Genomic DNA, 23,096 nt, shown 5'->3' with positions numbered 1-23,096 from the left:
TTTTAATTCTCACACCACATCTATGAGATGAATAATATTTTCAGCATTTTACTGATTGACAATGTTGTAATTAACCTGAGCTGTGTGCTCTTAGAAAACAGCCACAGTTAAGAAATCTCACCCACGCACCCCCAAACCTTTTGTTTTCTAAAATCCTCCACACTTTTGTGTTCTGGGAAGTAGCTTATCAGAAAGAACTACCCTTCCACATATGACTTCATCAGACCCACAGTCCTGTCTTTCTCATGCCTCCCATATGATGCACGGATGACCCCCTTGTTTACCTGTGACAAGGACAAATGCAGACCTTTTCCCTTCTGCCTGAGTCTGCCGGCAAGGCCAAGGACAGACTTTTCAGCTTCTCATTCTTTGTCTCATGGTTGATTAGCTGAGATTAGAGCTGTCTGTTTTGTCTTTGGCAAGATGAACAACATGAGGCATACGGGATTAAGAAACTCCTCAAAGTTTACACCACTGAGGAGACCAGGACTAAACCCAGGTCTCCGTGTCTCTGGACCCTGGGCTCTGAGCTGCCGTGAACACCCCACCTGCTTTGCTTTCCCTCCTGAGTGCATTTGCCTGACTGCCGGGATTATGGTCATTGTGGTGGCTATTGTCTTTGTCTGTCTACCTCCCCTCTCCCTTCTGGTAACATACCCCATCCCTCACCACAGGATGGGCAGATGGTCCAAACTGGACCAATCTTACCCCATCCCTCTGGCCTCAGTGATGGGTCCAGGATGGGCATGTGAGCCAAGCAAAGCCAATGATAGTCCTTCCCTGGGATTTTGCTGTTGAAGTGTGGTCAGGTTATTGTAAAGTGAGACTCCAGGGCAGCCTACAGCATTCACTACATGGGAAAGACTGAGAAGATGAAGCCATTACCTAGAGAAATGCAAAGAAAGTGCTGGGGACATCAAATCCCTGGTCCCAGGATCTGAGTTCCCTGGAGCTGCACTTATTCTTACAGCTCCTCCAGCATCCTTCCAATCAACTGTCTTTTAAATTTTTTATTTTTTTGAGACAGGGTCTTACTCTGTCACCCAGGCTGGAGTGCAGTGGCGCAATCTCAGCTTGCTGCAACCTCTGCCTCCTGGGCTCAAACAATCCTCCCACCTCAGCCTCCCTCATAGCTGAGATTACAGGCATGTGCCACCACGCTCAGCTAATTTTTGTACTTTTTATAGAGACGGAGTTTTGCCATGTTGCCCAGGCTGGTCTCAAACTCCTGAGCTCAAGCCATCTGCCTGCCTCAGCCTCCCAAAGTGCTGGGATTATACATATTACTGCACCCGACTTCAACCATCTTTTTAATTTCAACTAGTTTGGACCTGCATGGTGGCTCATGCCTGTAATCCCAGCACTTTGGGAGGCCAAGGTGGGAGAATTGCTTGAGGCCAGGAGTTTCAGACCAGCCTACACAACATAGCAACATCCATCTGTACAAAAAAAAAAAATCCGTCTGTACAAAAAAAAAATTATTTTAATTAATAAACTGGTTCAAGTTGGGTTTCTGTCACTTGCAACCAAAAGAGACCAGACTAACATAGACACAATTTCTATATGTCTGTTTGAGATAGGAAAAACCAAACTGACTGCTTTTACTCTTCTCACACTCAACACATTTTTTTTTTTTTGAGACAGAGTCTAACTCTGTTGCCCAGGCTAGAGTGAAGTGGCACAGTCATAGCTTGCTGCAGCCTCAGCTTCCAGGCTCAAGTGATCCTCCTGCCTCAGCCTCCCAAGTAGCTGCTGGGACCACAAGCACGCACCACTATGCTCGGCTTTTTCTTTTTTTTTTTTTCCTTAGAGGTGGGGTCCCACTTTGTTGCCCAGGCTGGTCTCGAACGCCTAGGCTCAAGCGATCCTCCCGCTTTGGCCTCCCAAAGTGCTGGGATTATAGGTGTGAGCCACCATGCCCGTCCTCAACACAATGCTTCTGACAGCAGATGTGTGGAGGTTTTTCCTTACACACTAAGCAACTATCCAGCAGACACTAACTGGTTGTCCTACAATTCAATTCTGATACTAGCTAATGACTGGAGTTAGAATCAGATCCCATAGGTCAAAGGCTCAGTCCCACAAGACTGTCCCCCACCTCAGATGCCAGTCAAAAGTAGCAGTTGTCATCTGTACTTCTAACCAAATGGCTATAAATGAGGGTTCCATTAATTTACTAGGATGGCTCATAGAAGGAAACACTCACATGTACTGGCTCATTATAAAGAATGTGACAAAGGTTACAGATAAACAGCCAGATGAGATGGTACCCAGGGCAAAGGATGGGGGCGCAGACCTTCCATGCCCACTCCAGGTACCTCCATGGTTCAGCAGTCTAGAAGCTCTTCAAACGCTGTGGTTGAGGGATTTTTACAGAGGCTTCGTAATGCAGGCACAATCGATTGTTATTATTATTATTATTATTTTTGAGACGGAGTTTCACTCTTTGTTGCCCAGGCTGGAGTGCAATGGTGCAATCTCAGCTCACTGCAACCTCCGCCTCCGGGGTTCAAACGATTCTCCTGCCTCAGCCTCCCAAGTAGCTGGGATTACAGGCATGCGCCACCACGCCCAGCTGATTTTGTATTTTTAGTAGAGACAGGGTTTCTCCATGTTGGTCAGGCTGGTCTCGAACTTCCGATCTCAGGTGATCTGCCTGCCTTGGCCTCCCAAAGTGCTGGGATTACAGGCGTGAGCCACTGCGCCTGGTCGGCACAATCAATTATCAACTCAATCTCTGGCTTTTCTCCCCATCCCAGAAGATGGGGATGGGGCTGAAAGTTCCAAGCTTCTAACCTTGGCTTGGTTTTTCTGGTGACCAGCCCACCAAGAGTCATCTCATTAGAATACTAGATGTTCCCATCACCCATGAAATTCCAAGGGATTAGGACCCTTTATCAGGAGCAAGGGACAAAGACCAAATAGAACAAAAAGATCCACCTAGTGCCCCATCACTCAGGAAATGACAAGAATTTTAGGAGCTCTGTGCCAGGAGCCAGGGGCAGAGATCAATTATATATTTTTCCTTTCTTTTTCTTTCTTTCTTTTTTTTTTTTTTTTTGTTAGACAGAGTTTTGCTGTTGTCACCCAGGCTGGAGTGCAGTGGTGCAATCTCAGCTCACTGCAACCTCTGCTTCTTGGGTTCAAATGATTCTCCTGCCTCAGCCTCCCGAGTAGCTGTGATTACAGGTGCGTGCCCCCCACGCCCACCTAGTTTTTGTATTTTTAGTAGAGACAGGGTTTCACCATGTTGGCCAGGCTGGTCTCGAACTCCTGACCTCAGGTGATCTGCCCGCCTCAGCCTCTCAAAGTGCTAGGATTACAGGTGTGAGCCACCGTACCCGGCCTAATTATATATTTTTCTTATTTCACAATGTCATATCAACTAAAAGTGGCCTCAGCAATGGGGGTGGTGGTTCATTTTCTTATAATAAATACAGAAGTAGCTGGCTTCTTACCAGCAGCTCAAGTTGTCAAGGATCTGGGTTGGTTCTGAATTGTATCATCCCCGTGACTAGGTGTGATATGGAACAAATAGATACGGTTTGATACAGTTTAAAAATAATTAAACTACTATAATTCCTTAGTTATAATTTAAGACTTTCTTTGAATCCTGAACACTTGTGTAAGCATAATGCCAGTATTTAGGTGGAAAATCTCTGACTCAATCTCAGTCTGTTTAACTTATTCGATGTGTTCTCGTGGGAGTACAAAGGATACTTTTGTCACAAGAGGCAAAACTGCTTAGTTCTGAAGCTTCCTCCAGGCAGTCTCTAGGTTGGCTCTGCTGTGTATATTCCATGAGTTCATAGCAATACACTGAACCAGCTGCCTCAGCTTCCCCACTCTTAGGACCTGCCAAAGCATCCCATTTGCCCCAAATGTTCTTGTTTGACCACTCCAGTTTTCCCAAAATGGGATACATACTGCCAATGGGCCCAAGATGACTTTCTAAATTGTTTAATTATGAAAATTTCAAACATATGCAAAACCAGAGGATGGTTTAGTGAATCGCCATACACCCATCTCTCAGATTCTAGAATTATAATGACACTGGTGCTGGGAAAAACTTAACCTCAAATTAAATCCTTGGAATATGCTGAACACTTTAGCCAATATCTTCAGCCTTGCATAGGACATCGAAGGGACTGGTGGAGCTCTAGATTCTGGTGGGGGACACAGCTGATTCTTCTGCAGCCTAGAGCCCTCTGTGGGCCCTAGCCCTGAGTACTTTAGGGGCAGGAGGGTCACACTCCTCTGTGGCCTGCTACACACAGTTCATGAATGAAGTCATCTTTGCAGGCAAAGCAGGCATCTTTCTGGCTGCTGTCTTTGTTGGAAGGCAAAGAGCTGAGACCACAAGCAAAGAGGGAGAGTTGGTAAATGTTACTTTCCTGAGTTGCATAAAAGGGTGAAGCCACCTAAATTAAGCACACTGAGCCTGACCCACCCAGGCAGACCAGCGGCCAGCTAGACTAAACGCAGTTGCCTCATCCGGGAGCTCCTGCAGGGGGAGTTCAGACCAAGAGCATGTTTCTGGGCAGGCCCAGCGCCTGGATCTAATCAGTGGGATGGAGGAGGAACATACTGAAATGCCCGGCGTAAATCAAGAGATGAATTACAAGATGCTGCTTAAGCGAACATTTCCTTCCAGGAAAGTTGGATCTTGGTCGCTGCTCAAAACTCATGATGTGTGGGGTATGCAGGTCCATTCATCTTCCCAGCCCGGAGTCCATGTAGGGGTGGAGGAACAATTGTCTCCCAAAGGCTGCTTCTCCTCCCACTCCCCTTCCCAAAGCTGTTTATATCTGGAAGCTGAAGATTTCTTGGAAGGAGAGCACACCGGGTGGAAATATTCATCTCCCAAAAGAGCTCTCGGTGGGCGGTAAAGCAGGCGACCCCTGAAAGTCACTGAGCAGCCACTGTGGCCTCTAGTGTGTGTCCTTCCTCCCCTGTCCCAAGGATGTGAGCCGCATCACTGCCCCAATCGTTCTGTGGCCTGGAGGAGGTTGGCAGAAAAACTCAGGCCTCAAAATGAACATCTGGAAGAGCAAGCCTGGATTCCCAGGTGGTTTCCAAGCAGGCACACTTGGAGAGATTGCTAGGGCTTTCATCAGTGGTGTTCATAGACATACTCACTTAAGACTTTTCATGACGACTGTCACTTTCTTTTTTATTTTTTATTTTTTTTGAGATGGAGTCTGGCTCTGTCGCCCAGGCTAGAGTGCAGTGGCGCGATCTCGGCTCACTGCAAGCTCTGCCTCCCGGGTTCACGCCATTCTCCTGCCTCAGCCTCCCGAGTAGCTGGGACTACAGGCACACGCTGCCGTGCCGGCTAATTTTTTGTGTTTTTTCGTAGAGACGGGGTTTCACCATGTTAGCCAGGATGGTCTCGATCTCCTGACCTCGTGATCCGCCCGCCTCAGCCTCCCAAAGTACTGGGATTACAGGCATGAGCCACTGCGCCCGGCCGAGGACTGTCACTTTCTAAGCAAGTTTAAAAAAGCACATCACAGGGCACAGGATGTTAGCCCAGAGGGTGGCATGTTGGTTTAAGCTGGAGGAATAGATGCTAAAGTGACCACATTTGGGTAGTTTCCTGGCAGGTCAACACACCTGGGTGACCAGCAAGATGTGGCACACAGAGAACATCTTTTTTTTTTTTTTTTTTGAGATGGAGTTTCACTCTTGTCACCCAGGCTGGAGTGCAATGGTACAATCTCAGCTCACTGCAACCTCCGCCTCTCGGGGTCAAGAGATTCTCCTGCCTCAGCCTCCTGAGTAGCTGGGATTATAGGCACGTGCCACCACACCCAGCTAATTTTTGTATTTTTAGCAGAGAAGGGTTTTGACCATGTTGATCAGGCTGGTCTCGAACTCCTGACCTCGTGATCTGCCTGACTCTGTCTCAAAGAAAAAAAAAAAGAAAAGAAACGCAAATCTTCTGGCTCAGCAGTCTGGGTGCCTCTGCTGGAACTCAAGGGTCCTAGGCAGGGCCCCTGCAGCATCTGCGGCCAAGAAAGCCGAGCTGCGGGCCCACTGGGTACCCCAGCCAACTCCAAGGAGAGACCCGCGGCCAGTGCAGGCGGGGCAGCCCCCCCAGGGCCCTGCTCCGCGGAGGATAAATGTCTCAGCGGGAGCATCCGGCCGGCGGAGCAGCCCGGGAAGCGGCCCAGACGCAGCCAGACTGGCGTGGGGGCCAGTTCCCGATCTGGGTCCCGGCGGGGGGAGCGAGCCCGTCCCGCGGCCTCCAGCCAAGAGAAGCGAGCGAGGGGCTGCAGGGATTTTTACCCAGTGGCCTGACACTTAACGAAGGGTGGGTCACTGCAGTGATCTCCGGCGTGGGAAGGATTGGGGTTGGCTGCGGCGGGAGACTCAGGTAGAGTCTTGGGGAACAGCCAGCACAGCCCGACCTGGCCCCAGGTGCACCCCCACCTCCCTTAGGCCGTCATTTCCAGCAACACAGCGCCATCTCTGCCAGCCCAGCGGTCAGGACGGCGAGAGGCGCCCAGAAAACATACGCCCTGCAATGGAGAGTCAGTCCCCACCCGGGCGTCCTGGGTTCCCTGTTTTCCTCCCATCACCGACCCCCAAGCCGCCCCCTCTCAACACGCCCCGGCTTAGCCCCCAGCCCCTGACTGTGGAGCTGCCCTGGCCGGCCGGCAGCCCTGGCCCACCCGGGTCCCTTACTGCACGTTCTCTCTGGTCCGGCCCCTGGCCCTTTCCCTCCCTGCCTGAACTCCTTACAAAGGACAGATCAGAGCTGTCCGGTGTCTTAGGAAAGAAGAGATCCTTCACATTCAGTGATAGGAACTTGTCTCGAAACAGCTTAAGCCAAAAGGGCTTTCTTTGGCTCACATCCCTGAGAAGTCAGGGGTGGAGCTGGCCCCGCTGGGCAGGGCTGGAAGTAGGACTTTACAGTGCCCTCGGTCTTTGGGCTTCCGTCCCGCTCTCTCCCTCTCCGCTCCGCTTTCAGCCCTGTGTGGGACTGGGACTGCATGTCCGCTCTGCCTGGGTAACCTTGGGTCTGCTGAGAACCAGAGAGGAGCCACCAAGGCCTTCCAGGGTCTTCCCTGGAGGCTGGGAGCCTAGTCCTTACCCTGGCATGGCTGCACCCTCTTGACTTTCTAAAATGCCTCTGAGTGTATTGGATAAAGGATCCTTTTTGACTCGAGCTCTTCACACTGATCACTTGCAAGGCAGAGTCTGCACTCTTACAGGCTCCCTGGCAGAGCCAGCCTCCATCCCAGGCCTCCCTTCCTGCCCACGAAGCAGAGTTCTAAGCAGGAGGAAAGAACAAGTGGCTGAATCTCAGCTCCGGGGGCCCCCTCCTCCCTCCCTCCCTCCCTCTGTGAGCAGGGGCTCAGCCGTGTCCTCCTATTTCTCCAGGTCCTGGAAAGGGGCCCCGGGATCCTGGGGGAGGTGCTGAAGGAGGCAGTTGTGCTGAAGTTATGTGCAGTGTGGCGGCAGCTTGTCCAGGCTCAGACACTTCTAGTAAATGGAGTTAAGTCACCCACTCCCCTAGGTATTTGCGGCCCCTGCTTTGAATCAAGGCGTAGAAGCTATCCAGAAAAAGGTGACATGAGCCCTGCCCACCCTTTAGATTTAAGCAAACCCTATCTGAGGACTGGGGCTGTCCTGACAGAGGTTGGCCTGCAAGGGTCTGGGTGCATCTGGAGGCTGACACCTTGGGCACAGACCCAAGGGGCAGCATCATCAAATGGAGAGAGCTGAGGCTCAGAGAGCTGCTCCCTGGCCCGTCAGTGCCCAGCCGTCAGGATGAACGCATCGAGACAGTGCTCCCCATGTTGCGGGCGAAGACCTGGCAGCTGTCTTCCAGTCCCATAACTACAGGGGTGCAGCGGGTCCCAGCTCCCAGGAGGCGCACCAGAGTCCCATTTGGGAGCCAAAAATCTCTGGGATTCATCCTACTAGAGGCAAGAGAGTCCCTGGGACCAGCCAGGAAACATGTGGAGAGTGAGAGAAGTCTGTGGGAGGGGTTTTGGGGAGGCGGGGACCCCCTGCTTTCAAGAAAGCTTTCAACCCACCCCTTGAGAGCTCTGAGGCTGAGGAAGCCTGAGCCGCTTGGACCCCACAGTGTCATTTACTCCAGGCCTGTTAGCCGGTGGGGGTGGAGGGAAGAGATGCTCTGAGTTTGAGGGTTTTCTGGCTGTGGGTGGGGAAGCCCAACTGACCAATCAGGCTGGAAAGGTAATGGGGTCCCATGGTAGCAGATGAAGGACATTTCTTTCTCCAGATTTCCTCTTAGGAGGAGCAATGGATTCATCGGGAAGGAATACTTACATAAGTCCTCTAGGGTGAGGTGGCAAGAGGAGCAGGGTGAGACTCCGGGGTCTCAGAACTGCCTTCAAGGAGGTGGGGTGCTTGTGCCTGGGGGCCTTTTGGGTCTCAGTGCCGAAGTGGGTGGAGGGTGTGTGGTCCCATGGGGGCACTGGGGCTGACCTGGAGTGTCCTGGCCTAGAAGGGGCCTAGAAGGAGCTTTGGAGTTGGGGAGAAAGGGAGCTAGCAAGGTGGTGAGCTGCTCATGGAGGTGCTGAAGGCACTGGCTCCATCAGGGGATCTTGGGATTTAGGGTCCAGAAACATCTAATAGAGGAAGTTTGTTTATTGTGGAGTGTCAGTGTGCAGTATAGCGCCTCCATCTTTCTTCTCCCCTTTTCCCAGACGAATAAAAGGAATAAAACCAATTTTTTTTGCTTGTGTTTTATCTTTGTTTTTGAGACAGTCTCACTCTGTTGCCCAGGCTGGAGTGTAGTGGCACGATCCCGGTTCACTGCAACCTCCACTTCCCCGGTTCAAGCGATTCTCATGCCTCAGCCCTCGAGTAGCTGGGATTACAGGCACCTGCCACCACGCCCGGCCAATTTTGTATTTTTAGTAGAGATGGGGTTTCACCATGTTGGTCAGGCTGGTGTCGAACTCCTGACCTCAAGTGATCCGCCCACCTCAGCCTCTCAAAGTGCTGGGATTACAGGCATGAGCCACTGCGCCCAGCCAAACCAAACATTTTTAGCTGGGCACATACCACTAAGTGATTAATCTCTGGCCAAATGAAGGCAGAAATGATGTGTACAATTTCTGGGAAGTGTCCCTCAAGGGGAAGATTGTGCCTTCAGCATTCTCCCTCCTCCCTCTCCTGATGGCTGGAACGCAGATGTACCGTCTGAAGCCCAGGCGCCACGTTGGATCACGAGGTGGCCTTGGGAAAGGAACCATGCCTGGTAGCTTATCAGTCAGCTGGGGCTCTCATAACAAATGAGCACAGCTGGGCAGCTGAAAACAGCAGCAATTGATTCCTTCCCAGTTCCGGAGGCCAGAAGCCTGACATCAGACCAGTAGGGTTAACTCTTCCTGAAGGCTAGGAGGGAGACTCTGATCCCTGCCTATCTGCTGGCTTCTGGTGCTGGAGAACCACGCTACTCCAGTATGACCAGATCTTAACTAATTACGTCTGCAAGGGTTCTATTTCCAGATAAGGTTACCTTCTGAGCGCTGGGTGGAAATGAATTTTAGGGGGACATTTTCCAGCTCATATAGGAGCACAAGAGAGTGGGAGCATGTCCCCGACATTGAGGTGCATGAGTGTCCAGCCACCTGTGGGACCCCTCATGCCATCTGTGCATTTCCCCTGGGTGAGGGCACTTGCAGGGGCGTGGCATTCTCTTTATAGGTGGGCACAGGGTAAAAAGCTGAGAGAGTTCCTGGCAGAAGGACACACCTTGCACTTTGTCACTTATTTGTGGGATCTAAAAATCAAAATAGCTGGGCGCGGTGGCTCATGCCTGTAATCCCAGCACTTTGGGAGGCTAAAGCGGGACGATTGCTTGAGCTCAGGAGTTCGAGACCAGCCTGGGCAACATGGCGAAGCCCCGTCTCTACAAAAAATACAAAAATTAGCCGCGCATGGTGGCACTTGCCTGTAATCCCAGCTACTTGGGAGGCTGAGGCATGAGAATCGCTTGAACCCAGGAGGTGGAGGTTGCAGCGAGCCAAGATCACACCACTGCACTCCAGCCTGGGCGACAGAGTGAGACTCTGTCTCAAAATAAATACATAAATAAATGTAATTAATAAAAATCAAAGTGATTGATCTCATGGACATAGAGAGTACAAGGATGGTTACCAGAGGCTGGGAAGGGTAGCGGGGGCTTGGAAGGGGATGGGGATGCTTAATGGGTACAAAAAATAGAATGATTGAATAAGACCTGCTATTTGATGGCACAACGGGGTGGCTGTAGTCAATAACTGTACATTTTGGAATAACTTAGAGTGTAATTGGACTGTTGGCAACTCAAATTTGGATAAATGCTTGAGGGGATGGATGTCCCATTCTCCATGATGTGCTTATTTCACATTGCATGACTGTATCAAAACATCTCATGTACCCCATAAATTAAAAATAACAATAACAAAATAGCTCATGCCTGTTGGCCAGAGCCTGGGAGGATAGCTGACCCCCACCCAGGCCCACGGCGCTTCCTGTGCTGAGCACTTTGACCGGGGAGGTCCGGGCGAAGAACTTGAGCCTTCAGTGGCTGGGCCCAAGGGTCGCAGGACCTGGAAGTGGCTCAAGGACCTGGCTGCCCTGGAGGTGGTGGCCGCTCTGGGATCTCAGCTCTGTCTCTGCTGCTGGCCCTGGCACACTGGCCCCACATCATTCTCTGACCTTTTCCTGCACAGCCTGAACACTGCACCCCATCCAGAGCAGGTGCCATACCATCATCTCAGGCCAGTCCCACTCCTGAGCTGGAGGGACAGACTGGCAGCCTGACCCTACCTGTCCTTCTGTCCTGGCAGGTTGGTTAAGGCGGGTGGTCCCAGAGGCAGTCCAGCAAAGACACACAGATCCACAGGGCCGGCTGAAGGCAGCATCCTCTGGGGAATCCACCAGGGCCCTGAGAGAGGAGGTGGTCCCACTGACTGCTGGGACCCAGGCTCTCTGTGACATGATCTGGACCTGGGTTCCACACAGGCTAGGGCTGGGCAGGGAGGCACAGGATGACCCGGATGAGTTACCACCCTGTCCTGTGTCTCCATTTCCCCTTCAGCCTGCCTGTGAACGTCCCTCCCTGGAGGAGCTACCAAAAGGCTGGGAAATAAACATTTTTGGTTCCAAGAACAACTGTGGAAGGAAGGCCAGGCCCAGCTTCTTCCCAGCCTCCCTGGAACCAGCTTGGAAGTGCTGGTGGGGCTGGGGACTGGAGCAAGGCCCTGGCCCTCCAGCGAGGTGGGGGCATGGTTGAACCCCCACTGCATCCAGGGGTCTCTGCAGATGGTGGTACACTATGGGGGCCCCATCCCTGCAGCATCAAGGTCTTGGTCTGGAGCCCAAAGCCCCCCGAATCCAAGCTGTCTAGGCCTTCAGGTCTCAGGCCAGGCCAGCTGTGGCCTCACCCGCCCCTAGGCAGGCCATTCGCCATCTCCACCAGTGGCACCAAACCCAGAACACAGGTCTGGGGAAGGAGCCAAGACAAGGGACAGATTTCCCTCCCCACCCTCCATTCTGGCCCCAGGAGCCTTCAAGGCTCTGATCTGTCCTGACTCACATTTTCTAGACCCATCTGTCCCATGGGCATGTGTGTGCACCTGTCTAGAGGGAAGTAGCAGGGGTCACAGGGCATTTTCCTTGCTTGCACTTCAAAGTCTGGCTTGCCCAGCATTAGCTCTGGAGGCTACCTCCAATCGGGGGCTCCCGGGGCAGGGGTTGCTGTGGAGCTTCCTCTCCTGGGAGGCTGCTCAGTCCCAGTCTCCACAACCTTCCCCTCCCTCTGCTCCGGGGAGCCGTGAGAGCCACCGGCCAGGGAAGCCCATTCATTCTGTCTGCTGCTCAGCCCTCACATGGCCTTATAGGGTAGAGGCTGAGAAGGGTGCCAGGCCTGCGGGGAAGGACAGGCAGGGTGGCCTCAGAGGGGCTCCCCATCGAGCATGCCTGGCTGACCTGGGCGGTGAGTCTCCACCCTCCCAGACTCCCCCTTTAATAACATGTTTCGTAATATCCTCTTTCCTGTCCTAAAAGGAAATTCCCAGATATTTATCCACATGATTTAAAAATGACCCTTATAATGCCCTATCTCTAATGGAAAGAAGAAATAAAAGGCAAGCAATTTATTTTAATTAATTAATTAAGTAATTACTTTTTGAGGCAGGGTCTCTCTCTGTCACCCAGGCTGGAGTACAGCGGTGCGATCATGGCTCACTGCAGCCTCAACCTCCCGGGCTCAAGCAATCCTCCCACTTCAGCCTCTCAAGTAACTGGGACTACAGGCAGTTACCACCACACGCGGCTAATTTTTGTATTTTTTTTAGAGACAGGTTTTCGCCATGTTGCCCAGGCTGGGGAAAGCAATTATATATATATATATGTATATATATAAAATAATTTCCATGTATAAGCGCTTAGGCTGACTATACCAGAAAGCATAGAAAAATGCAGATCTTTCTAGAAAGAAGCAAAGTCTGATGCAGGTGACCTGAGGCAGAGTGGGTCATGCACACTCGCACTGGCATAGGTGTGTGCTGGTTTGGTGACTCAGCAGAACAAATGGTGTGGCTATCTTTGATGTGAGTTTTCAAAATGATGAACAGCTCTTGGTAAAGTTCTGAACCCACCCCAGGTCAGTCTCTGCCCACCCAGCGCTGCAGGACGTCCAGCATGCCAGCTCCCTCCAGGAACGCTGGTTGGATTCCCCCATCATTGTAGAAACCAAAAATGTCCCATCATTGTGTGCAATGCTTCCCAGGGGCAGTGGTGCCCTCCCTGAGAATCTAGGCCCTGGAAGTGGAGGGGATATGAAAATGAAGGGACCCAAGTCCAGCCCCAGAAGCTCATAATCCAGCGTGGGAAGAGGCACAGAGCGCAGTGAGGACAGATCCAGGGAAGTTCACAGTCACCACTCAGTGCCCCCGACCTCCCTCCTAGTGGAGCCGGCACCACCAGGCTCCAGGAAGAAGCCAATCTCCTCCCTACGCCGATGCAGTCAGCATCAGTGACCAAGTCTCAAGTCCATGTTCTCTTGATCACTCCCGCCTCCTCCTCAGCTCTCCAGTGATGACTGCAGTGATTTCCTCCAGCTGGCTCACCTCCTTCATGCCCCCTGCCCGCATTCAACCGCCCCACCTTTCTTCAGGTAAGCCCTCTGTGTTAGCCTGCTTGGGTGGCTGCAACAGCCACAGACTGGGTGGTTTTGACAACAGATGTTTATTTCTCGCAGTTCTGGAGGCTGGAGTCCAAGATCAAGGTGCTGGCAGGTTTGTTTCTCCTGAGGCTTCTCTCCTGGGCTTGCAGGTGGCCACCTTCTCCCTGTGTCCTCACAGTGTCCCTCCATCTGTGTGTGTCTGTGTCCCAATCTCTTCTTATAGGGACACTAGTCAGAGTGGATTAGGGCCTATCATAATGGCCTCATTTTATATTAATCATCTTTTTAAAGGCCACCTCCAAGTATAGTGACATTCCTTTTTCTCTTTTTTCTTTTTCTTTTTTTTTTTTTTTTTTGAGACAGGGTCTGGCCCTTTTGCCCAGGCTGGAGAGCTGTGGTGCCATCATGATTTATTGCAGCCTCAACCTCCCCAGCTCAAGCGATCCTCTAGCCTCAGCCTCCTGAGTAGCTGGTACTACAGGCATGTACTACCACACCTGGCTAATTTTTTCAAAATTTTTTGTAGAGACAAGGTCTCAGTATGTTGCCCAGGTTGGTCTCAAACTCCTAAGCTCAAGTAATCCTCCTGCCTTGGCCTCCCAAAGTGCTAGGATTATAGGCGTGAACCACCGTGCCCACCCAAATATAGTGACATTCTGAAGGTACTGGGGGTTAGGGCTTCAACATATGAATTTTGGGAGGACACAACTCAGTCCATAATACCCCCCATCACGGCTCCTCTTAAAGTGCTCTTTTGGTATCAAGTGCCAGAAATTCACCTCCAAGTAGCCTGTGTTTTGCTTAAGCAAATAAAACTTGCTGCCTGGAATGACACAGTCTGGAAGTAGAGGCACGGCTGGACGTAGGGCTTAGGAGAGCCCGTCTGGATCCGCTTCTTAGCTCAGCTTCCTCTTGGTTGGTGCCACATTCAGGATCTACATGGTGGAAGGAGCAGTTTCAGGCTACATCATCAGTGGAAGATAGATAGATAGATAGATAGATAGACAATAGATATAAGATAGATTAGGTAGAGAGGTAAGATAGGTAGGTAGTTAGGTAGGTAGATAGATAGATCCTGATTGATAGAGAGAGATGGGTTCCCAATAGCCAGAACAGATACCCCAGAATTGGGTCTTGTTAGCTCTGATTGGCCTGACTTGGTCACGTGCTCATCCCTGAACCAATCATTGTCACCTGGTGGATGGAATGTGTGGGCTGGCATCTGGGCTGAGCTAGGAGGTGGCCACTTCCCTTAAGAAGAAATGAAGGCACAGATACCCGTTACCAGGAGTGCCAGTGGTTGCTGGGCTGCAGACGTTGTGGAAGTTCACTATTGAATGTGCGAATGAATGAGTGAAGGAGGCTCTGCCATCGTCTGTAACCTGATACAGAAGTTTGAGCTAGGTCCGGTCTGCAGACTGGATTCCCCACCGTCTGGTCAGGTCAGTGGTCTTTGCCCTGCGATGTGCTCCTTCTCCACGTTCATTATCCTTGTCAGTATCAGCTCCACCGCCAGAGTATGACTTTATCTTGAACCAGTGGCTTGAGAATGTTGAGGGACCGAGCACAGATTATGTGTCCCTGTTCGGGTCTGGATTAAGACATTTAAAGACTCTAAGCACTAAAAAGATTACGGTGCCTTCTACTCACCCCCCTCCCTTTTTGTCCCCATTAAAAACAACAACAGCTGTAAGCCACAGAATGAATATAAGGAAGTCTGATGACTTGTTCCTTTTTCTGTTAAAGATTATTTCAATGACAAACAAATGTTGATCAAATTATTTTAAGAAAAATGAAATTATTTTTGTTGGGCCTCTGCTGTGCTGGCTCCAGCGTGTCCTTTGCCTGCTTATAGGAGTCTGGCCCTGCTGTCCTAATCTGACCCTGGAGCGTGGCCCTCTCACTTCCCCCTGCTGCTGGCTTCCCGCTGTTGCGTGACTAGTGTGACTCAACAGAGTTCCCCTTGGAGAACCGACAAGAGGCTGAAGCACCTGTGTCCAGGCCACCATGGGGCAGGCCCGAGGCCTGGAGATTCCAGGGCAAGGACTGACTCCATGGCACCCACTCATAGGCACTGTTTGCTTGGGTCATCGGATGTGTATTGATCTCCTTGGGTTGCTGCAAGCTGCAGAGTCTCAGGCCAGGGCACTTCCCAAGAGAAGTGGTGCGTTCTGGCTGCCCCTGCTGGCTCTTGTGGCCCCTGGGCTCCATGGTATGCCAAGCATGGGCTCCAGGAAAGACAGCCAGAAGCATTTCAAAATATGGGCTGCTGTTAGGGTCATATACACACAAAGCCTTTATTTTTTTTTTTTATTTTTTGAGACAGAGTCTCACTCTGTTGCCCAGGCTGGAGCACAGTGGCACAATTTCAGCTCACTGCAACCTCTGCCTCCAGGGTTCAAGCAATTCTTGTGCCTCAGCCTCCCGAGTAGCTGGGATTACAGGCGCCCGCCACCACGCCTGGCTATTTTTTGTATTTTTAGTAGAGAGGGATTTCACCATGTTGACCAGGCTGGTCTCAAACTCCTGGCCTCAAGTGATCCACCCACCTTGGCCTCCCAAAGCGCTGGGATTACAGGCATGAGCCACCGCACCTGGCCAATCCAACGCCTTTTTGATGATAAACAGCAATTGCCATGGCGAGTTTAGCAGAGCCTGGAGATGGGGAATCTGGCAGACCTGCTGCCATGTGTCTTGTGTCCTGCAGAGAGACCCGTCCAAGGGGACATAGACGGCACTCCCACCTGCTCCCACTTGGTCAATGGATTCTGTGGTTGGGGAACTCCCCTTTGGGAAGTATATTCCGTCTCTAGAAATATCTGTACTCTATTGATGGTAAGACAGACCCTGAGTACCCTCTGGAGAAATCTGTTTTTCAGGGAGGACTTTCGCTTATGTCTACTGTCATCCATGCTGGTAGAGCGTCCTGGGGTGTGCACTATTCCTGTATCCACGCTTCATTGAAATGGCCAGGAGACTCAGGTCTTCTGGAGGCACCTTTATATGGGAGAGTTTCTTAGTGTGGAGGCCTCAGGACCATCCGTCTCAGAATCATCTGAGTACCTGCTAAACTTGCTGGATTCCTGAGGTGGACTCCAAATCTGCCGAATCACTGCCATAGTGGTTAAGAAATAATCGAAAATAGCCAGGCACGGTGACTCACGCCTGTAATCCCAGCACTTTGGGAGGCTGAGGCAGAAAGATCGCTTGAGCTAAGGAGTTTGAGACCAGCCTGGGCAACACAGCGAGACCCCATCTCAAATTAAAAATAAAAATGAAAAAAGAAATTTAAAAAAGGGAAATAAGTAAAACAAAACCAAAAGAAACAGGTGTTATAGTTAGACAACGCTGTGTTTGAATTCCAGTCCTGTAAATTACCATGCACCTGTAATATCTCTAAGCTCTATTTCCTTTATCTGTAACATTTACCTCACCGTAGAATTGTGAGGATGAAGGGCAGCCAAGTGCTGAATGCAGTGCCTAGAGCACAGGAGCTAAATACATTTTCGCCACTATTGTCCTTCCAATAACTATTTACCAGGAGTCTACAATGAGCCAGAAACTGCTGCAGGCACTAGGAATACAGCAGTCATAAAAAACAAACTCCTTGTCCTCATTAGGTTTACGTGCTAATCCGGGGAGACAGACAATAAACAAATAAGCAGCTATGATGCCAGGTGGGTGTAAGTGCCATGAAGAAACTCAGTCAGGATCAAGGGCATCACTAGACTCCCAGAGCTAACTCAATGATTTAATCTGATACCAATAGGCCTCATGTATCAAGCGTTGTGATGGGGACTTTGGGGGACACTTTGGGACTTGCCGTTAAGGAGCTTATTTATAGACTGGTTAGGAAACAAAAATTGTACACACACAGGAAACCACAGGAGAACAAGTAATCACCTTGTGAACCATGTGTCATACATGCCTGAGAGCTGCTCAGAGAAGAGATTACTGGGGACTGACAGTGAGGTGTAAGTGAATCCCTCCATCAGGCTTCTAATCCTGGAACAAAGGAAGGAATTTCCTTACGACCCGTCCCTGTTGTTACTTTAGAGATGCTAGTTGATACTCTGCATACAGAAAAAGGCTTAGACACTTGCAAACCTCTGAAATCTTTGGAACATGTATCAGGGCTTCTGAGAGATGATAATGGCAGAAGAGTCAGATGCTGCCCAGCCTAGGTCATGGGAATAAGACTTAATGGAAAATTCCTTATCTCTGTCTAACTCTTTGCCAAGTCCCAGCTCTGCGTAATGCCCAAGATCTCTAAAGGTAATTATCTACCAGATATAATTTTTTTTTTTGAGACGGAGTCTCGCTCTTGTCGCCCAGGCTGAAGTGCAATGGCACGATCTCGGCTCACTGCAACCTCTGCCTCCCGGGTTCAAGCGATTCTCCTGCCTCAGCCTCCTGAGTAGCTAGGATTACAGGCACCCGCCACCATGCCCGGCTAATTTTTGTACTTTTAGTAGAGACGGGGTTTCACCATGTTGGCCAGGATGGTCTTGATCTCTTGACCTCGTGATTTGCCCACCTCGGCCTCCCAAAGAGGTGGGATTACAGGTGTGAGCCACTGTGCCTGGCCTGGGATATAATTTTATTAAAAATAAATAACTCGCTGATTGGGAAAACACTGAGTACATGCACCAAAGGTACTGCCCAGATCCCAGCGAACAAGTGGCAAATGCCCATCACCAATGGGCTACATTGTAGAGGGCAACTGGAAAGAATGCTTTTGTTAAAAATCCCTTTCTGAAAAGGCATACTGACTTAGGAGTATGGAGGCAGATAGAAATGTGGAGCAGAGTATGGTATAGGATGAAAGAGACACGGCTATTGGTGTGTCTGTTGATCCTTTGGATCAAACAATACCAGAAAATGAAGAGGCCAGAAACCAGGTTAACGGAAAGAGGAAGTAGAAACACAAATGTAAAAATGGCTTTTGATATTGAATAAAGCACTTCAGTCTGCATGTTCTCACCTGCATGAGGTGTTAGGCCGCATGATTCTCTCTCTCTCTTTTTTTTTTTTTTAGACAGAGTCTTGCTCTGTTGCCCAGGCTGCAGTACAGTGGCACGATCTTGGCTCACTTCAACCTCCGCCTCCTGGGTTCAAATGATTCTCCTGCCTCAGCCTCCTGAGTAGCTGGGATTACAGGCATGTGCCACCACACACAGCTAATTTTTTTGTATTATTATTATTATTTTTTGAGACGGAATCTTGCTCTGTCGCCAGGCTGGAGTGCAGTGGCACAATCTTGGCTCGGGGCAACCTCCGCCTCCCGGGTTCGAGCAATTCCCCTGCCTCAGCCTCCTGAGCAGCTGGGACTACAGGTGCGCACCACCATGCCCGGCTAATTTTTTTGTATTTTAGTAGAGATGGGGTTTCACCATGTTGGCCAGGATGGTCTTGATCTCCTGACCTTGTGATCTGCCTGCCGCAGCCTCCCAAAGTGCTGGGATTACAGGCATGAGCCACTGCACCCGGTCTTTTTTTTTTTTGTATTTTTAGTAGAGACGGGATTTCGCCCTGTTGGCCAGGCTAGTCTCGAACTCTTGACCTCAGGGGATCCGCCCGCCTTGGCCTCCCAAAGTGCTAGGATTACAAGCGTGAGCCACCATGCCTGGCACTTTTTTAAAATTTGAGATGGAGTTTCACTCGTCGCCCAGGCTGGAGTGCAATGGCAAAATCTCGGCTCACTGCAACCTCTGCCTCTCAGGTTCAAGTGATTCTCCTGCCTCAGCTTCCTGAGTAGCTGGGATTACAGGCACACCACACGCCTGGCTAATTTTTGTATGTTTAGTAGAGATGGGGTTTCACCATGTTGGCCAGGCTGGTCTTGGACTCCTGACCTCAAGTGATCTGCCATTCTCGGCCTCCCAAACTGCTGGGATTACAGGCGTGAGCCACTGCGTCTGGCCGGCCACACCATTCTGATTCAGGTAAAATTTAGTGAATGCCTACTTGAGTGCCGGTTTCTTAACGTAGATTTTCTCTATATAATAGCATCTACCTCTTCAAGTGGCTGTGAGGAATGAGGAACAATGCATGTGATTCTCATCAGTAGCACATAGCCATCGTGTAATAATCAGCCATTCTTAAATCCCTGTAACAACCTTGAGGTCAACATGACTCCCTCTGTGCAAATGAGGAACCCATGAAGGGATCCTCAGATGAGGATCTGGACTTAAATCTGAGGCCAAAGCCCATGATCTTCCCATTTACGTGGTTTGGCTTGGAAGGGCCCCTACAGCTTTAACAGTAAAGGATGGGAGGGTGGAACCAAAACTGGAACCCTAGAAACAGCAAAATGCACTTGCTAAGGAAGTGGAAGTGTTTCATTTATAATCGATACAAGAAGGCTGGGAGTTGTCTGGGACAAAGCCACAAAATCTTTGCCCATGCTCATGTCTTCTCATCATCTCACGCCAGCTGGAAATTCCAGAGACACTGTTTGCCTGTGCACATAAAGAAAAACAAGCGTTTTTCAAGAGCAAAACTAATGGAAAAAGTCCTTAGCGGGAGCATTTAGTCACTGGAGGAAGAGTGAGAAGAGACATTTAGGTACTTGGGGAAGGCAGCCACAGTTAGCAAATGAGTATGTGACCATAAATTATATGCTAGGGTTTATGATGGTGAGCAAATGTAGGACAGGTTAGGCAAATAAACCAGGCAATGAATGAAAATACGGTGGGGCGGCAATGCGGGGCAATGTTGGGTACTGGGGAAACAGAGAACCTAAGTCAGCCCTGGTGGGAGAAATCATGGAGGGCTTCTTGAAGGAGGTCTTTAAAAACCTCCTAAATAACAAGCAGATCTACCAGATCTAGGCAGAAAATGGCGGGAATCAAAAGAGGTGGGCATTTCAGGCAGAGGGAATGGTATGTGCAAAGGCCAGATGACAGAAAGCCTGGGTCTTTGGAGGAAGTAAAAAGCAGTTCTGAGTGTGAGGTGAGAGAAAAATGAAGAGACAGGAGGCTGGAGAGACAAGCAGCAGTTCAAGCCTTGGGCAGCCATGTGTACATATTGAAGAACTTGGGCTTTATTCGGTAACAAGAAAGCACAGGTTTTTAAGACTAACTTTTTTTTTTTTTGGTGGAGACAGGGTCTTGCTCTGTCATCCAAGCTGGAGCGCAGTGGCGTGATCACGGCTTACTGCAGCCTTGAATTCCTGGGCTCAAGCGATCCTCCTGCCTCAGCCTCTCGAGTAGTTGGGACTACAAGCACGCATCACCACACCCATCTAGTGTGTGTGTGTGTGTGTGTGTAGAAGCACGCATCACCACACCCGTCTAGTGTGTGTGTGTGTGTGTGTGTGTGTGTGTGTGTGTAGACGGTCTCACTTTGTTGCCCAGGCTGGTCTTGAATTCCTGAGCTCAAGCGATTCCTGCCTCGGCCTCCCAAAGTGCTGGAATTATAGGTGTGAGCCATTATACCAGGCCTGATTTGTGTTTTAGAGAGATCAGTTTGGAGAATGGATTAGAATGGGTCAATTCTGGAAGTACAGACCAGTTAAATGCTTCAGCTGAGGGTACTGAGCAGTGGGGAAGGGAAGTGGATGAACTGGAGAGATAATTGAGATGCCAAGCATTGAGTCAAGGTGAAGCTGGGGTTTCTGGTGTAGGAAACCACATGGAGGGCTTGGCATTAGCCCGAAGTAGAGCAGGATGGGTGTGGAGTGTGGTTGGACATGTTTTAAGTGCTTGTGCAGCAGCCCAGATAGGGACACCAGTGAGTTGCTGAAAGGTACATGTCAGAAGCTCAGAGGCTGGGTGTGGTGGCTCATGCCTGTAATCCCAACAGCTTGGTAAGTGGGTGTATCACTTGAGCTCAAGAGTTGGAGACCATCCTGGCCAACATGGTGAAACCCCATTTCTATTAAAAACACAAAAAATTAGCCGGGTGTAGTGACATGCGCCTGTAGTCCCAGCTACTCGGGAGGCTGAAGTGAGAGGACTGCTTGAGCCCAGAAGGCGGAGATTGCAGTGAGATGGGATTGTGCCACTGCACTCCCCCGCCTGGGTGACATGGGATGGACGAAGTTGCTTGGAGAAAGTAGACTGAGAAGAGGATCAAAGACCAAATTCTGAAGGTTGGCAGTTAAAGTGCAGTCAGAGGGAGTGGGACTTGCCAAAAAAACCAAAGAATCTCTGCACAAACAGATGCTCAAATAAAGAGAAATACTACTGATTTGTCAAATGAAGAGGTCAGAGACAGGAGGAAAATTAGAGCAAGAAAGCCAAAGATAATTTTTTTTTTTTGAGATGGAGTTTTGCTCTGTTGCCCAGGCTAGAGTGCAGTGGCGCGATCTTGGCTCACTGCAACCTCTGCCACCTGGGTTCAAATGATTCTCCTGCCTCAGCCTCCGGAGTAGCTGGGACTACAGGCACATGCCACCATGCTTGGCTAATTTTTTCATATTTTTAGTAGAGACGGGGTTTTACCATGTTGCCCAGGATGGTCTTGATCTCCTGATCTCGTGATCCACCTGCCTTGGCCTCCCAAAGTGCATGAGTCACCATGTCCAGCCCCAAGGAGAGTATTTTTAAAACGCAAGAGTCATTTACCTGCAGGCCAGTAGGAAAAGACTAGATTCTAGGATCGGTCCCATTTAAGAAACCAAACCATTTATCACTTGCAACTGGTTTCAATGTTGTGCATCCCACTTACCGTCAACCCTGACACTGTGTGCCACAATGACACCATCTGGGAGTAATTGCTGCCACCCTCCCTTCTGTTTCTTCTATTGGTTGTGTCAACTCTAGCTCCTAGCCTGTTTTCATATGACTTTCACTCTTATTTTACTGTAGACTTCCTTACTCCTTGGTTAGCTCTCAGTCCTAATGCATATCCCAGGACATCTAGGAAAAAAAAAAACCTAGCAGGAGGCCAGGCGCAGTGGCTCACGCCTGTAATCTCAGCATTTTGGGAGGCTGAGGTGGGCAGATCACCTGAGGTTGGGAGTTTGAGACCAGCCTGACCAACATGTAGAAACCCCGTCTCTACTAAAAATACAAAATTAGCTGGACATGGTGGCAAATACCTGTAATCCCAGCTACTCGGGAGGCTGAGGTAGGAGAATTGCTTGAACCCGGGAGGTGGAGGTTGCGGTGAGCTGAGACCATGCCATTGCACTCCAGCCTGGGCAACACGACCAAAACTCCATCTCAAAACAAATAAATAAATATTCATCAGGAAAGCAGATACCGACTGTCTCATCATAATCTGTTCCATGTAGATATGTTACTTTATAGCTTGCACTTTTTAATGCTATAACCTTTTCAAGATTTAAATTCTGAATTGCACTGCCTAATAGGAACTAGTGCTAATTGCTCCCTGAAGTTCAGTCTATTATTTTGGAAGGAGTGTGATAACATTGGCAGGATGCCAGCGAATGTACCACCCCTCCCAGACTACTCAATTTTGTACAGTGACATCCAGAGACTTCTGTTTTTTAAACATTTCATATACTAGGGGAAATGTAAGAGATAACTGTCTGAAATGCAAGCAACGTTAAAAGCTTGAACAGGAAGGACATAGCTAATGAGAGGCTAGGAAATGAGATAATCTCTTTTATAGAATCATCTGATATTGAGGAAACAAGGAATTTACAAAGGAGGGGATACAATGAAATTAACCAATGAGTGGTTGATCCTCTGGGATCAGTAACCTTTAGACCTGGACATAAAAACTAGCCTGTGGTAGATGAATGTACTAGGGCTAATCTACTCAGGAATTTGTTTCCTTTAAGAATAGTTTCCCCCTACAAGATTCAGAAAACTACATCCTAAGTTAAGAAGTGAAAGAATCAAGGTAGGGGCAAAATGCCATTCCTGTATAATTTTTTAAGCTACCTACTCATAAAACAACACAAAACCCTTGAAATCCAGCTCTTTTAAATTCCATGTCCCAGTAAATCAGAAACATCCATTTCATA

At 49.7% G+C, this 23,096-nt stretch overlaps 6 annotated features.

The window, feature by feature from the left end:
* Positions 4,744–5,624: an enhancer, noted in NCBI's record as "H3K4me1 hESC enhancer chr2:232056223-232057103 (GRCh37/hg19 assembly coordinates)". NCBI's record gives its function as "activates a minimal SCP1, AML or CMV promoter by ChIP-STARR-seq in primed H9 embryonic stem cells {active_cell/tissue: H9 hESC(primed)}" and the evidence as "EXISTENCE:reporter gene assay evidence [ECO:0000049][PMID:30033119]".
* Positions 9,244–9,538: an enhancer, noted in NCBI's record as "tiled region #12701; K562 Activating DNase matched - State 7:EnhWF". NCBI's record gives its function as "activates a minimal TATA promoter and a strong SV40 promoter by Sharpr-MPRA in K562 cells {active_cell/tissue: K562}" and the evidence as "EXISTENCE:reporter gene assay evidence [ECO:0000049][PMID:27701403]".
* Positions 14,225–15,424: an enhancer, noted in NCBI's record as "BRD4-independent group 4 enhancer chr2:232046423-232047622 (GRCh37/hg19 assembly coordinates)". NCBI's record gives its function as "activates an origin of replication core promoter dependent on BRD2, P300/CBP, MED14 and CDK7 cofactors, and independent of BRD4, by STARR-seq in HCT116 cells {active_cell/tissue: HCT116}" and the evidence as "EXISTENCE:reporter gene assay evidence [ECO:0000049][PMID:35650434]".
* Positions 14,962–15,351: an enhancer, noted in NCBI's record as "active region_17277". NCBI's record gives its function as "activates an Ori minimal core promoter by ATAC-STARR-seq in GM12878 lymphoblastoid cells {active_cell/tissue: GM12878}" and the evidence as "EXISTENCE:reporter gene assay evidence [ECO:0000049][PMID:35858748]".
* Positions 16,724–16,823: an enhancer, noted in NCBI's record as "active region_17276". NCBI's record gives its function as "activates an Ori minimal core promoter by ATAC-STARR-seq in GM12878 lymphoblastoid cells {active_cell/tissue: GM12878}" and the evidence as "EXISTENCE:reporter gene assay evidence [ECO:0000049][PMID:35858748]".
* Positions 16,894–17,003: an enhancer, noted in NCBI's record as "active region_17275". NCBI's record gives its function as "activates an Ori minimal core promoter by ATAC-STARR-seq in GM12878 lymphoblastoid cells {active_cell/tissue: GM12878}" and the evidence as "EXISTENCE:reporter gene assay evidence [ECO:0000049][PMID:35858748]".

This window comes from Homo sapiens, chromosome 2 (genome assembly GCF_000001405.40).
Source record: "Homo sapiens chromosome 2, GRCh38.p14 Primary Assembly".
In the NCBI taxonomy this organism is placed as follows: Eukaryota; Metazoa; Chordata; class Mammalia; order Primates; family Hominidae; genus Homo; species Homo sapiens.
Note: the sequence above shows the minus strand (reverse complement) of the source record. Positions and strands in the feature narration are given on the sequence as shown.